The following is a 17,345-nucleotide window of genomic DNA, read 5'->3' as shown; positions in this document are numbered from 1 at the left end:
TTTCCCCCAATTCTGTCCCCATAAAATTTGTCCTCCATGTAGCTGCCAAGTAGTGTGGAGGTTAAGAATATGACATTGGTTTTGGATTCCAGTACTGGCTCTGCCATTTCCTAGATGTGTGACCTGACATAAATTACTCAATCCATTCCTCTTCCTTCATCTGAAAAATAATACCCGCTCAGGGTTGTTTTAGGAAGTAGCACATTAGTATGTGTCAAGGTATATGTCAAAACTCCTTATACAAGTCCTCACCTGCATCCCATCGGTAAACCCCTTGCTCTAGTAACAGAATTTTCTTGTAACCTATATTCTTTGTAGTTTTCTTTCAGTCTTTTCCCAAGCTGTCCCTTCTTATCTTTATTTTAGCTATTTCATCCACTGCCTGCCTATCTGCTTAGGTGCAGTGCCCTGCAGGAAGCCTTCCTTTTCTCACAGGCCCTTTCTCAGTAAGTTTTTCCAAAATAACCAGGAAATATCCATTGTGGTATTTATATTAACCTCTTTTGTAAAGCTCACGTTCCTGGTTTGTCTCCCCTCCACCGCCAGACTGAAGGCTGAGGCCCATGGCAACTACTGAGCCATGGAGTTGCATGCTCCAAATGAAAAAAAAAAAAAAAAATGAATTTCTGAGTGGCATTTGAAAGGAAGATTTTCCAAAGAGTATTTTGGAAACATCAGGTCTAACAACAACAACAACAAAAATCAGTGTATTTTATCTTTCCAGGACTTGAGGTCAGAGGAGATATTACAGTATATTTTGGATTTAAATTTAAACCATCCCCATAAGAAAAAGTTGAAAAGCATAAATAATGAATTCAGGATCTTAAAAACTGAGATTTTACTTTAGTTATGTTTGTTTCGTAATGAATGTTCTGCCTATGTAAGACTTCAGTGTCAAAAAGTCTGTCCTTTAGTATTTTATTTTCAAAACTTGTAAATGCAATGGATGTCATTTCATTTAATTTTACCATTTTATCTGTCTTACTCATTTTCCATCCTGGGATTTAGGAGGGGAACATTTTGATTAGAGAGGAAAAATATTATCAAGCAGGTGAACTGATCAATTCTCTTCTGAGGAAGGATTCAGGATGATTTTCTCCTTTTCAGTACTCAGCACTATTTATTGGAGTTTAACAATGTCCCAAACACAGTACTGCCAGGAACATGAAGTTAAGATGGTTTTTAGTCCAGATACTTAAAGAAGACCTAAATACACCACAAAAGGAAGACTATTCAATTGCTTGCTTCTGTGAGTGCTTATGAAATAGATTATTATAGATCGGAAATCTCTGGTCTGTGGCACAAGATTAAAGTTAACTTTGTGGAGGGCTTCAGCAATATCTCTGTAATAACTCTTCCATAATGATCAACCTAAGACTGGTCTATCAGTGAAGTGAAAATCCTAAATTCAATAAACTACACTTTATATTTTTGCAGCTATTATCCCAAACTTGGATCAATTTGAGTGCAAAAACTTAACCGTCATCTGGCTTTTGAAATCCTTATTTTATTAGAATATTTGCAAAGGTAAGAAATCAAAGTATCTAAGTAATAGGTTTTCATACATTTTTAAAAGGGCAAACAAAACCTTGGTTTCTTAATGGAAGGGAGAGGAGAGCTAATGCATTTCACAAAATAGGCCTGTCTAGATTGAGTATCTGAAATCTGCCATTTCCTGCATTGGGGCATGGCTAAAATTTTAACTCGTGCCTCTTGCTTTATCTGAGGGAATACTTGCTTTCTTAGCTCTCTCCTCAAGACACACTCTGCTGTGGTCCCTTTCAGCCCTTTGGAGAGACAAGGCATTCCTGGGGCCCCAGTTGATCTCAGTACATGAAAATCAGGTTAGAGGCAGTGTTCCTCTTAGTAACGGATTATCTATTATACCATTTTAAATATAAATTTCAAATGAAATAGTGGGTAGAAAAGGTATATCAACTGTAAAACAAGATACAAATGCTCAAAGCATTATTTAACGAGGCAGTAAATGGCATTTAGAATGTGATTAGGTATACAGAAAGGCCACTTAGGTGGAGGTAGACCCTACTCAGAATGCGATTCTGAATCAAAGGTTGGTATTAATCCTGCATTCTCATAATACTTTGGCCCCTGGAAGTTCAGATTTGCATGTGTACATAGTTTTGATGTTAATGGAAAGCAAAGCTGAATTCATCCATGACAGTGGTTCACATTGTAGTGTCCCCCTCCTGTTAGCTTTGAAGAATTACTACTAATTGGCTGTAAAAGCTGGTTCTTTGAAATGATCAAGAAAATATATAAGGCTTTTTGTAAAGCTTGATAACGAGAAAAATGAGGCAAAGCAAAAATATATAAAATGAAGAGCCAGCCATCCTCACTTGATGGAAGAAATTAAAATAATAAAAACATGCAACTCCATAGTAACAAAGTTGTAAAAACCAGGGGATACAGATGACTTCTTAGCGAAAATATAAAATGCCAAAATTAGCCCAAGAAGTAGAAAACTTAAACATACCAATTAGCATAGATTAAGTATAAAAAGTTACCATGACTGAATGACTTCATAGCTGAGTTCTATATGACACATTAAAGAAAAGATAATTCCAATTTAAACTACCAGCTCGTTCAGGTCAGAGCTTTTCCAATTTTACTGTGCGTGCAATTTACCTGGAGATCTTGTTAATGATGCATATTCCGATTCTGTAGGTCTGGAATAGGGCCTGAGATTCTGTGTTCTAACACTTTCCCAGGTGATGTCCATGGCAGGCTAAGAAGTTCAAGGGTGAAGGGGCTGCATTTGGTGAGGGCCTTCTTGCTGCTGGGGACTCTCAGCAGAGTCCCAAGGTGGTACAGGGCATCACCTGGTCACCTGATGAGGGGGCTGAGCATGCTAGCCCTGGCGTCTATCCTCTTATAAAACCACTTAATCTACTTCTGTGATAACCCATTAATTCATTACTTTGTGAATGGACCTAATCACCTCTTTAAGGCCCCAGCTGTCAATACTGCCACACTGGGGATTAACTTTCAACATAAATTTTGGAGGCGACAAATATTCAATCCATAGCATTCTATAGAATGCTCCAACAATTCATTTTGTGAGTTTAATGTAAATTTAATATTAAAACCTGACATTAAATATCAAAAAAATCAGTATCATTTACTGAATTAATGAAATTTTCTAAATAAAATACTAGTAAAAGAAGTCTAATAATGCTGCAAAAGAATAATAAACTTTGAGATTTATTCTAGGAATGCAAGGTGGTATCAACACTGTCTATTAAATGAACAAAGAAGGAAAAATAAAGACAACAATAGATGTGGAAAAGCTATCCCTAATATAAATAGGAAATAATTAAAATAGAGGAGTATATTTTATTTATTTATTTATTTATTTATTTATTTATTTATTTATTTATTTAGAGGCAGTCTTACTCTGTCGCCCAGGCTGGAGTGCAGTGGCATGATCTCGGCTCACCACAATCTCTGTCTCCCAGGTTCAAGCGATTCTCCTGCCTTAGCCTCCCTAGTAGTTCGGATTACAGGCACCCACCACCACGCCTGGCTAATTTTTTGTATTCTTTGTAGAGATGGGGTTTCACCATGTTGGTCAGGCTGGTCTTGAACTCCTGACCTCAGGTGAGGAGGGCAGATCACTTGAGGTCAGAGGTTCGAGACCAGCCTGGGCAACATGGTGAAACCCTGTCTCTACTAAAAATACAAAAATTAGCTGGGCTTGGTGGTGGGTGGCTGTAATCTCAGCTACACAGGAGGCTAAGGCAGGAGAATTGCTTGAACCCAGGAGACAGAGGTTGCAATGGGCCAAGATCATGCCACTGCACTCCAGCCTGGGCAACAGAGCGAGACTCTGTCTCAAAAAAAAAAAAAATTTTCCAGGTACTCTGCCTGTGGGGTACCCTGCCCTGTCTATGGAGCAGACATTTTTCTGTATTCTGTTGTTCTAATAAGCTTGCTTTGCTTTCACTTAAAAAAAAAAGTCTTTTCCTCAAATTAACATACATTTATTAATAATAAACTTCCAATTAGACTCTATACAGCATTTTGTTTTGATCCAATTTGTTTAGGATAAAATGATCATAAAGCTTATATAAAATAAATATCCAAAAATATCCAAGGAAAGTATGAAACAGAAGAATAAAGATTTGAGAAACTACAGTGTAATTATTGTAGTTAATATGACATTGGCATGAGGACAGATGGGTCAGTGGACAAAATAGACTATCAAGAATGAGATTTCAAGCTACAAGAATTTAATACAAGAAAGACAGGATTCAATTCAGTGGGAGAAGATTGGTTTATTTAATAAACAGTGCTGGCAACGCCTACTATTCATTTGGAAGAAAACAGAGATGGACCCCAGCTCCTATCATGCTTAAAAATAAACTCTAGTGGGATTAAAGATGCATGTAAAAAAAATTTTTAAGGAAAAATTTTAGGAACTGTACATGTAGTTTAAATGGGGAGAGGACCTTCTTAATCATGAAAGGACACTTAAAACCTATAGCAGAGGCCAGGCATGGTGGCTCACACCTGTAATCCCAGCACTTTGGGAGGCTGAGGCCAGTGGATCACCTGAAGTCAGGAGTTCAAGACCAGTCTGGCCAACATGGTGAAACCTCATCTCTACTAAAAATAAAATAAAAAAAAAATTAGCTGGGCGTGGCAGAGGATGCCTGTAATCCCAGCTACTCGGGAGGCTGAGGCAGAGAATTGCTTGAACCCAGGAGGTGGAGGTTGTAGTGAGCCGAGATGGCGCCACTGCCCTCCAGCCTGGGTGACAGAGTGAGACTCCATCTCAAAAAAACCAAACAAACAAAAAACAAAACAAACAGAACCTATAGCAGAAAAGATAGGCCTATTTGTATTTTTTAAAATCTTGAATTTCAAAAGATACTAGTCAAATCAGATGAAAATAGATTTGTAAAATAAAAATTCTAAGCCCAATGAAGAGTTGGTATCTATAACATACATAGAGAGATCTTATAAATTGACAAGAAAAGGACAAAACTGTAGGAAAAAATGTAGGTGAAATACCCTCATTAGAAAAAAGTGAATCTGAGTGCCTAATAGATGAGTAGGTATGAGATCTTGTCATTGTCAAAGTCAACACAATGGCAATGAGGTGTCACTTTACATCCATCAGATGGGCAGAACTTCCAAGAGTAACAGCATCTTTTGCTGTTGAACAAGTGTGAGAGAATGATACTCTTGCACATTGCTGGCATAAATAGGAGAAAGTTTTAATGCACTTCTCCAGACTGTTTTCCAAAAACAAAGAAAAATAAACTCCCATTGGCCCAGCAGTTCCTCTTCTGACACTCTCCATAGAAATAAAAACAGAAGTCTGGAAAAGTGAATGTGTTGTGGGAAGTCAGGGACCCCGAACGGAGGGACCGGCTGAAGCCATGGCAGAAGAACATGGATTGTGAAGATTTCATGGACATTTCCCCGAATTAATACTTTTATAATTTCTTATGCCTGTCTTTACTGCAGTCTCTGAACGTAAATTGTGAAGATTTCATGGACACTTATCACTTCCCCAATCAATACCCTTGTGATTTCCTATGCCTGTCTTTACTTTAATCTCTTAATCCTGTCATCTCGTAAACTGAGGAGGATGTATGTCACCTCAGGACCCCGTGATGATCGCGTTAACTGCACAAATTGTAGAGCATGTGTGTTTGAACAATATGAAATATGGGCACCTTGAAAAAAGAACAGGATAACAGCAATGTTTAGGGAACAAGAGAGATAAACTCTGACTGCCGGTGAGCCGGGTGGAACAGAGCCATATTTCTCTTCTTTCAAAAGCAAATGGGAGAAATATCACTGAATTCCTTTTCTCAGCAAGGAACATCCCTGAGAAAGAGAATGCACCTCTGAGGGTGGGCCTCTAAAATGGCCCCCTTGGGTGTGGCCGTCTTCTATGGTCGAAACTGTAGGGATGAAATAAGCCCCAGTCTCTCATAGCACTCCCAGGCTTATTAGGACAAGGAAATTCCCACCTAATAAATTTTTGGTCAGACCCTGTCTCCTGATAAGATGTTATCAATGACAATGGTGCCTGAAACTTCATTAGCAATTTTAATTTTGCCCCAGTCCTGTGGTCCTGTGGTCCTGTGATCTCGCCCTGCCTCCATTTGCCTTGTGATATTCTATTACCTTGTGAAGCACGTGATCTCTGTGACCCACACCCTATTCATACACTCCCTCCCCTTTTGAAAATCCCTAATAAAAACTTGCTGGTTTTACGGCTCAGGGGGCGTCACAGAACCTACCGACATGTGATGTCTCAGCTGGATGCACAGCTTTAAAATTTCTCTCTTTTGTACTCTGTCTCTTTATTTCTCAAACCATCCAATGCTTAGGGAAAATAGAAAAGAAACTACGTGAAATATTGGGGGTGAATTTTGCCTGATATCTGGCCAAATTTCCCCCAATATGAATGTAAAAAGATGTTTGTGGCCGGGCGTGGTGGCTCACGCCTGTAATCCCAGCACTTTGGGAGGCTGAGGCGGGCAGATCACGAGGTCAGGAGATCGAGACCATCCTGGCTAACACAGCGAAACCCCGTCTCTACTAAAAATACAAAAAATTAGCCAGGTGTGGTGGCGGGCACCTGTAGCCTCAGCTACTTGGGAGGCTGAGGCAGGAGAATGGCGTTAACCTGGGAGGCGAAGCTTGCAGTGTGCAGAGATTGTGCCACTGCACTCCAGCCTGGACGACAGAGTGAGACTCCATCTCAAAAAAAAAAAAAAAAAAAAGATGTTTGCTTTGGTGAAATTACAGTGGTCCCAAACTAAGTGACAATGACATAAAGGGAACAATAAGAAGTTGTTGTAGGCCAGGTGCAATGGCTCATGCCTGTAATCCCAGCCCTTTGGGAGGCCGAGGTGAGTGGATCATGAAGTCGGGAGTTCGAGACCAGCATGGCCAACATGGTGAAACCTCATCTCTACTAAAAATACAAAAATTAGCTGGTGGCGCATGCTTGTAGTCCCAGCTACTCAGGAGGCTGAGGCAGGAGAATTGCTTGAACCTGGGAGGCAGAGGTTGCAGTGAGCTGAGATCGCAGCATTGCACTCCAGCCTGGGCAACAGAGCGAGACTCTGTCTCAAAAAAAAAAAGTCATTGTTTGTGATTATATGAATAGGTATATGATCGTATTTATATGGAAAACATGTGGAAGAAACTAGATCTTGCTAACGTAAATGATCTGGGATTGAGATGGTTCTGGTGGGGGAAGGGCCAGGGAAGAGAGTAGGTACAAAAGACGCAAGCTAGCTATCACAGAAAATGCATGAAAACACCGCTGCCTGCCTCCTGCCCCTGCCCGGCATGAATGGTATATTGGTGTGTGTATATATATATATATATGTGTGTGTGTGTATATATATATATATATGTATATGTATATATATGTGTGTGTATATATATGTGTATATATATGAATATATTTATGAATGGTATATTCATATATATATGAATATATTTATGAATATATGCTTATACAGACTAATTTTACAAGAAAATTATAAAAATTACAAAAAACTATACTGTATAATTTTATAAAATTATATAATGTGTACATATATAAGTATATGTTCAGAAATATATATCTATGTATGTGGAATATATGTGTATGAATTTCAATGCATATGCAGAAAGAGATTGGGGAAAAAGTTCTATTCATATCTACAGACGCATAAGGAGGTCTACTATGACATATTGCTAAGTGAAAAAGCTCAAATGGCGAAGTGTGTAACATAGTTCTCTTTGGTAAAAAACAAAAATGCCCTGTATGTCTATATTGCTGCTTTACTACGTTGGCATGAGCAGAGTGTGAACGTGCGTGGCTGTGCTGTTAGAATGGAGCAGGAGCGCAGGGTTGGGGGCAGGTGGGAAGTAGGGCTTTTCTTTCCACAGATTTAGTGTTATTTTACCTGCTGTAGCAACCTGTTTCGTTTGGTAATTTGAAAAGCTTGAAATTATATTGTCCTGACTATCTGGGCAGACATTCTTCCTGACCTACTATTTGAACTGACCTACTGACAACTTTGAACATCAGTTGGTCCCGCCTATTAATTAATATTAGACAGCTACTTCCCAGTATTTGTCAGTGGTCAAGGCTTTGTATATTAGCCCTAGATATCCATCTATACACAAAAGTGCTATAAATGTGCAGTTCTTGATATGTGGGTTCAGTGATTTTGAGTTTAGTAAATGTTTTCCAGAAAGACTAAAAACAATAGACTTACCATTTATTTACTTGTGTCACTCATAACTTCTAAGTCACAGATGGCTTTAGTTCAAGCCAATACAAAGGGAAGCAGGAGACTAATTGTAGAAAAGTCATTTGCATCTTGTTACGTAATTATGTATTATCTAGACCAGAGCTATCCAATAGAACTGTCTGTAATGAAGGAAATGTTCTACAATCCGTGCCAGTATTGAGCAGTTGAAACATGGCTAGTGCATCTGAATAAATGAATTTTACATGTTATTTTAGTGTTAATTCAAACAGCCACACACATGAACAGTGGCTACCACATTGTTCAATGCCAATCTAGAACCACTCAACTCACTAAAAACAAAAACAAATCCCAACGCTGTTGAAAATTGAAACAGTAAACTTGCTTCTATTGTCTGTAACTGGTGTGTAGGATAAATATCCTCTGTGTATAGAGAGAACAGCTTTTAGAAAACATTTTTATGATTCTTAATTTTTTTTTTTTGAGACAGAATCTTGCTCTGTTGCCCAGGCTGGAGTGCAATGGCATGATCTCAGCTCACTGCAACTTCTGCCTCCCAGTTTCAAGTGATTCTCCTGCCTCAGCCTCCCGAGTAGCTGGGATTACAGGTGCCCACCACCATGCCTGGCTAATTTTTGTTTTTTTAGTAGAGATGGGGTTTCACCATGTTGGCCATGCTGGTCTCGAACTCCTGACCTCAGGTGATCCACCCACCTCAGCTTCCCAAAGTGCTGGGATGATAGGTGTGAGCCACTGTGCCCGACCAGACTCTTAAATTTTTAATGAAATATTTCAAGCATACAAAAAAGCACAAGAATGATAAACACCCATGAACCTACCATTCAAATTTAACAAATGCTAACAGTTTGTTAAATTTTGCTTCAGATTTTCAAGAATAAAATATTACCTATCCAATTGAAGCCCCCTTTCCCCGCCCCCTTCTTCACTCTGCTGCCTGCCCAGGTAAGGATATATATATTTAGCACGTGTTCTTCCTTTACATTATTGTCAGATATTTATTGCACCTTTCCAAGATGAACAAGTCTCAAGTGTCAAAGTGTGACATTCTCTCTAGGCTGTGTATCTGTCTGTGTGTTTGCCAAAAACAGTCCAGTTGCCAGGAAAGATTGCAGGAATTACAGAGCCATAGAGAGAGGCAGAGCCATGTGGGATGGGAAGTTATTTACTTGCAGAAGGTGAGAGTGGACGACATTGAATATGAATTGCTCTGGAGGAAGTAAGTTCAATGGGCTCAATGGGAAGAATGGACATTTGCTAATAGGCAGGGAAGGTAGTCTGAGGGAAGGAGCCAATTTTACTATTTTCAGGAAGTGAGGGACACCACCAAGAGGTTTCCTTGTGCTTTTCATGAAGGGATTTGTCTAGGGGAGCGGTTCTCAAATTTGTTTGCTCATTAGCATCATCTGAGGATCTTCAAAAACCACTGACACCTGATCCACTCCCAGAGCCTGCTACTTAATTAGTCTCAGGCATTCCTGCCAGTCAGAACTTTTAAAACATCTCCAGGTGATTCCAATGTTCAGGCATCATTGAAAACCACAGCCTCGGGCCAGTGTTTCAAACTTGGTAGACGTTGCAATCAACTGCTAAGCTTTAAAAACTATGCCTGGACCCACCTCCAGGCATTAATCGTTGTTTAAACCGATTTAAATGGGATGGAAACAACCTGGGCATGGAGATTTTTTATAGCCCCCAACCAATTCTAATGTGAAGCCAAATTTGTGAATCTCTGGCCTAAAGGAAGCTCATGTTTATAGCAAATAATTTGGATAAAAAAACCTCAATGAGTTTCTGGCTTCTACATGCTGGGCTCAGTCTAGAGTTGTCATATAACTGGGGACTAGGTATCATGGAAATAAAATAGAGCTATCTCCAGGCTCTTTTTTGCTTCCAGTAAGTGCCAATAAATCTGATCCAAAACGCTCGGAAACACACAAGTTTATCCAGTGACCAGTGGGGACTCTCTCTTGCTTTGGAAGAAGCAGAGAAGTCACTTTTTATTTTATTTTTATTTTTTGAGGCCGAGTCTCACTCTGTTGCCCAGGCTGGATTACAGTGGCTCGATCTTGGCTCACTGCAGCATCTGCCTCCCGGATTCAATCGATTCTCATGCCTTAGTCCCCCGAGTAGCTGGGATTACAGGCGCCCACCACTATGCCTGGCTAATTTTTGTATTTTTAGTAGAGACAGCGTTTCACCATATTGGCAAGGCTGGTCTGGAACTCCGACCTCAAATGATCTGCCCACCTCAGCCTCCCAAAGTGCTAGTATTACAGGCGTGAGACACCGCGCCCGGCCAGAGAAGTGACTTTCAGATTCTTAGAAAAGGGTTGCAGGTTGTTTGATGGACAGGATATTATGGATTATAAAGATTATAGTGTAAGAAAACCAGGAGGCAGAGGGCCAAAGGTAAGTCTTAATACCATCCTTCCAGCTACCACCATCACTATTGCATTCCAGGAGTCGATGATGCTCAGCGTGATGACCCGTGTGAATCACATTCTTTAAGGAAAAGGGTGTATTTGTCATTTGCCCTCACTACTTACTTGGATGAGATGGTTTTTCCTGGAAGAGAGAGCTCACTGCTGAGTTGAGTGGGTGGGTAGAAAGCAGTATCGATGAGAAATGGTGTGGCTCTCATAGCAGTGTGAGGTAAGGAGGCTGGCAGAGCTGCCAGGAAATGCTGCAGGGCTGTGCTGAGGAACTGGCACTTCCTGGGGGAGGAAGGAACACAATGAGAGGGTAGACTAGTGAAAGGGTGGAACATTCCAGCAGTAAAGGCTGTTGATGCAGATGGCGGGCACTTTACCTTTGGACAGTTTCCTTTTATTTACTGAACTTGAGAAGGAGCTGGGAAATTGATCAGTGATTGATTTGAGGGTGGAACAAGGGAAGATCATTTAAGATCTAATATTTTTCTTTTATTGAGAATTAAACTCTTCACAGTTGTGGGAGAAGATAGAGTTATGATAGAGATTAAGTGTAGAAAACTTCAAGAAAGATGACATTTTAAATAGCTTTTCTAATTCAAACATAATGAACCTTGAAAGCACAGAAAAGTACACAGAAAAACTACCAAAAATCTTACCCAAAGATAAACATTCTTACCATTTCCCTGTATGTTATTCTGGCATTTTTTTCATACAAACGAATCTTTATATTTTGTGTGTGTGTGTGTGTGTGTATATATATATATATATATATGTGTGTATATATATACCATATCTCAAAAAAATGTATAAATCTATATATACAGTCTTGCTCTGTCACCCAGGCTGGAGTGCAGTGGCACAATCATAGCTCATTGCAGTCTTCAACTCCTGGGCCTAAGGGATCTTCCTGACTCAGCCTCCAAAGTAGCTGGGACTACAGGGGTACACCAGCATGCCTGGCTTAAAAAAAAAGTTTTGTAGAGATGGAGGTCTCACTATGTTGTTCAGGCTGGTCTCAAACTCCTAGCTTCAAGCAATTCTCTAACTTTGGCCTCCCAAAATGCTGGACTATGTGCTTTTCTTAATGAAAGTTATCCCCTGTACAAAATAGTTCACTGTGAGAATTCTCTTGATATACTAAGGGAGAAAAAGCTGCCCATGGAACAGTCTGCACAACTCATTGAACCAGTCAGCCCTTGTGGCACCTCTAAGGCATTTGATTTTGAAGGGAAGAACTTGAGGTGACCAGGAGAAAACCCAAGCTATGTTCTAGAAAACCGCAGGGGTAGATCCTCGTTCTATAACAGTTCCAAAATGTGTTAGCCAGGCCTGATCTGACATGAGAACACAGCTGATTGGTGTTTTGCACTTTGCCCCCTTCAGCCTCACCTTGTATTTAGCCCAGACACAATCCTATCCTATCACTTTTCTTTTTAAACCAGCCATCAAATTACCTAATGGGCGAGACCCTCAGCAGACAGTCATTCAACTTGACGGGGGTTTGCGAGGAGTTATTGGCATAAATTATCTCAGCACAATTACCCAGAGTTCATGTCACAAGTGTGTTCCATTGTACTCTCTCTCTCCTTTTTTTCAAACTACTTAGCATAATTATGTTATTTTAATGGCCACTCTAGCAACATTAACTATGACATTACCCAGTAGTCTATCAACTGGTGTTGGAAAGCTCTTCTTCAGCTTCAGTCCTGGAAGCCTCCATTATGGTTATACTCTTCAAAACAGAGGTATTGCTGTTATCAATGGTCCTGCTAAAGCCTTCTATGCTATTTCTTGAGACAGAGTCTTGCTCTGTCACCCAGGCTGGAGTGCAATGGTGTGATCTCAGATCACTGCAACTGCCATCTCCCAGGTTCAAGCAATTCTCCTGCCTCAGCCTCCCGAGTAGCTGGAACTACAGGTGCCCATCACCACACCCAGCTAATTTTTGTATTTTTAATAGAGACAAGGTTTAGCCATGTTGGCCAGGCTGGTCTCAAACTCCTGACCTCATGTGATTCACCTGCCTCGACCTCCCAAAGTGCTGGGATTATAGGCATGAGCCACCGCACCCAGCCTTCTATGCTATTTCTGATCACTTCAAAGGAAAGGACCCCATGAAGTAGCATCTTTCTCAGATATTTTCATTTGTCCATCCATAGACCTATCCAAATCACTCTTCTAAAGTGCTCTGGGGACCGAGCAGTCATATCAAAATCTGAGTTGACTCTACGGGCCTTGACTTTGGAGTCATCTGCTGTTGAGACACTCCCTGTCAGGTACAGAAACAGGTGCTGCCTGTGTGCCAGCTCACCCTCGGCAGGTGGCTGCATGCCTGGGCACCAGGGACCTGGCCGATAGCCACAAAATGTGAATGACTGGCCTAGCCCAGCTTTCCCATTTCACAAGTGGGCACCCGAGGTCTGGAAGCTGTGCGGTGACTGCTGAAGTCTCGAGGTTAATAAGCAGCAGACCTGGGACTCTGCAATCTTCCCACTGCCCCTCGCACCTTGAGGCACTCTCAGAGAAGACACTCCACGTGGAGGAGGAGCCATAATGCCTCAGTGGGGCACAGGTTTGCAGCACCAAACAGTTTCTACAAGGCCTCCCTGTTTCTTGCCTAGGTGATGCTCAGCATTGCTGACTTCACTTCCTGTCACTCCTGACCTCCCTTCAACTGCCCACATTAGGGAAGGTTTGATGCTAGCATTCTTGACCCTACTCTGCCATCCAGAATTAGCCCAAGGATTGTGGACAGTGAGGCAGGAAGAGCCAGAGCTCCCCAAAGCCTCAGCTCCCAGGAACTCACCTGCAGTTCTCACTTCCTGGCAGGACGCTTCTTGGGCCCCCACACAGTGCACCCCGCTGGGAGGAAGACTGGCACTCGAACTTTCAAGCCAACTAAGGGAGAAGCTGGGGTCCGGCTGCTTGCTTTCCTGTGTTCTGTGAATAGCTGCACTCCTTTGCAATAACTCTGTTCTTTAATAAAATAATCTGATCAGCATGTGACTTTGGAGGGACGTAAAGAGCTTCGGCAGGCAAGCCGTTTGAATTGCCAGTAGCACTTCATTCACAGGGGAACCAGCAGACTCACTCGACAAGGGGGACACCACTAGGCCAGAAGCTTCAAAAAGTCAGAAATAATTGTAAATTTTTAAAAATTATTATTTTTTTTTGAGACGGAGTCTCACTCTGTCACCCAGGCCAGAGTGTAGTGGCGTGATCTCACTGGAAGCTCTGCCTCCCGGGTTCAAGAGACTCTCCGCCCAAGCCTCCCTAGTAGCTGGGATTACAGGCATGTACCACCATGCCTGGCTAATTTTTGTATTTTCAGTAGAGACAGAGGTTTCACCATGTTGGCCAGGCTGGTCTCTAACTCCTGGACTCAAATGATCAGCCCGCCTTGGCCTGCCGAAGTGCTGGGATTACAGGCATGAGCCAGCATGCCTGGCCATAATCATATTATTGTAACAACTGCCACTAGTATGTCCTCACATATGGGTCTGAGGACTTAGATATCTACACACCTGAGACAGGTGGTCATTTTCCCTGCTGAGGAAGAGGATACAGGGAAGTATCTCGCTCCAGTTCAAACAGGAAGAGGCAGAGTTGGAAAGTAAATAGAGCCTCCCTGACTCCAAAGCTTGTGTTCTCCATCAGTTAACACCTTTTGATTTCTTCTTCCTCTTTACTAGGAAGAGGCACAGAGAAGCTGGGCCCAAGCTGGTCCATTTTCAGCACAGCCCCTGGAGGCATCTTTAGTTCACCTGCAGGACTGGACCGGAGAACCTCTCTGTGCCTGGGGCTGTAACGAATATGAGTGTCTTCTGGCCTCCTCACAAAAACACACTCTTCCATCATCTTCCACTCCATCCTTGAACCTGGTGTTCCAGGTAATTGCCTGTCGAGAAGCCAGGCAGAGTTCTGATGCGCTTGTAGGATGCTGAGGCCATCAGCTCCATAATGAGGTAAAACTGGATTTCTGTTCTTTAGCCCTCATTAAAGGAAGCACTACTCACTTATTGATTTGATTTTAAGTAGGAAATGACTGTGTATCAGGCGCATAAGTGACAAGAAATTGAGCCTAGAGGGGAGCATACTGTCTTGCAGAGACATGACAGCTGACTTTGATTGAGAGGGCCCTTAAGGAAAAAAGGTCCACACTTGTTCTCTGGGGGGCCAACCAATGGCTTGAGGGAGAAGCATTGGAGTGGGGGATGAGTAAGGGCCTCTTGGTAGGTAGAGCTGTGTGGAGAGAGAGTGGGTTGCCTTAGCGGCAGCGAATTTCCACACTGGGTGTGAGCACGCATGGGCTGAGCCACTATCCAGTGACAGCGTCATGTAAGGGGCTCTGGCAAGAGCGAAAGGCTGTGCCTAAATAGCCCTTCTGACTCAGAAGTATATTACACCACAGCTGCGTTTCAAGATTTAGACAAGCATTTAAGATGCTTATACTTGGGCATTAAGCCAGTGAGGGTGCTTTCTCTTGCAAGAGCTAGGAAACTGTACCCAATTTACTTAAGTGAAAAGGGAACATTTCAGCTTGTACAATGGCAAAATCCAGAGACAGGCACGGCTGGACCCAGGGATTGGGGTTAAGTCATCCCGATCCTCTTCCTTCTTCCCAGGTTGTTGGCCCAGTTCCTTGGAGTTGGCCTTGTTCTCAGGCAGCCTCTTCCCTAAGGGCAGAGAAATGGCTGCAGCACGTTTCTCCAGCTTTAAATCTGGAGGAGAGTGAGAGACTCAATGCCAGCATTTCCAGCAACGGGGCTGTTGGAGAAATAAAAAGTCTTGCCAACAAAAAGACTCCTCTCCCCTCATACCCATATAGATGAGGCAGGAAACGTGATTTATTCCTGAATATGCATATTAGATACACACATGCGAGGAGCCTGCAGGAGACTCTACACAATCTGGGCTGAATTTCACACACTTTCTACAGCAAAGTAGAAGAAAAATGAAGCCCACTCTTCCCTCCTTGAGAGACGAATGGATGTGCCTTGTAACAGCCTTCTGCACACCTCCCGAGAGACCGCTGAGTCAATTTCCGAGGCCTGTGCCTACAGTCCCAGGGTCAGAAGGCCTGTGACCTTGTGTTGTGAAATCTGGAGACTGGAGACCTTGCATTGTAAAATCTAACTCCTGACTCTAGGGTCTGGCCTACCTGTTGTGCTTTTAAGGAGATGCTCTAAGGGCAAGGCAGGGCAGCTGCTACCCCTTATTAAAATTCCATCATATGTATCAGCACAAGGTCATTATGTCGCACGGGCTCTGGTTGCGTGATACGTCCACTGCTGAGCAAATTTCTGTGGTCCAAAGCAGGGATACACTGACAGGCTTAGGTCTAACTTATGGAGAGGAGGTTTCCAAGAGTGAAACTAGGGCACAAGAGGAAAAAGATGCCCAGATGCCATGGAGACCCTGGGGCGCTGGGATGGGAGGTGGAGCTCTTCTGATCAAACCTAGCAGGTGACTTGGTCTGGCCATCAGGAATTAGTGTATCACCGTGCTGCCAATTCCCAAACCCCTTTTAGAACCACAGAACTTGCGTGGAGAGAAGAATGAACAATCAGAGGTTTTTTGAGAATAACTGCCGTGGATCTCAGAAAACCGACAGGGAGAGAACAGGAAATTCAGGCAGAGAGCCAGCTCTGAGCTGAGGGCTGTCTTCTTGAATGTTAAGGCTTTACTTGGAAAGCAAATGTTTCAGGATGAAATCTGCGTAGGGAGGTTTGGGATCTATGGTCTACCCCAGCTGTCCTGTGAGGGAAGGAAGAAAACCACCCAAACCAGACAGAAGCATCTGGCCAGTCGTCATGCACAGCCTCTGGGACATGGCTTCTCTGCCTGCCTCACCCACAGCCCAATGTCTTATGCACAGGTGACCATGTCCTGTATTGGTGACCAGGGAGGAGACAAGACCTGCAGCCTAGTGGGGAGCCTTGTAAAGCTTTGCCAGATGAGGCCAACAGTAACCCTCACACAAATATTCTCTTTGGAACCGGTATGTGGTGGCCAGTTATCAATACATCGCAGGAGCAAAAATAGTAAACATAGGAGCAAAATGGAAGAGAAGATATATGAGCTCTGGTAAGCACAGAGCAATGGAACAGGAATCAGTAAACTCCAGCTATGGTCCTACTGTGCAGATGAGAAAACAGGCTTGGAGAGGAACTTGCCCCCAGGTCACACAGCCAGTTGTGGCCAAACTGCAGCTTCCAACCTAGCTATCCAATTCTGAAGCTACAATAACTTTTCTCACTACAAAGATTTATAGAAGCTCCTCTAGTTACTGATGGGTGAGATTCCAAAATGCTGCTGGAGGCCATTGTTCCTAAGTCCAAAGAGACATTTCCCATGTGACTGCGAAGCTGTTTTTTGGCAATGAGAAGGGTGAAGGAGCTTTGGTTCAGCAGCAGACGTTTTTCTCCTTCCAGGATCACAGGTCATGTGTAGGTGGCTGGAAGCCTTTCTACTAATTAGCTGAGGTGGTTAACCCCAGTCTGAGACATCACATAAGCAGAACTTGTAGTATAGAGAACCTATTGCTCTTGGGACAGCAACATTTAGTCCTGATCAGCAACCTAGGAGGACAAACCCTTGTTATGCATTTCCAGTAAGCCTCAGTGAACTGCATCGTCTC

This window comes from Homo sapiens, chromosome 19 (assembly GCF_000001405.40).
Source record: "Homo sapiens chromosome 19, GRCh38.p14 Primary Assembly".
NCBI lineage: Eukaryota > Metazoa > Chordata > Mammalia > Primates > Hominidae > Homo > Homo sapiens.
Note: the sequence above shows the minus strand (reverse complement) of the source record.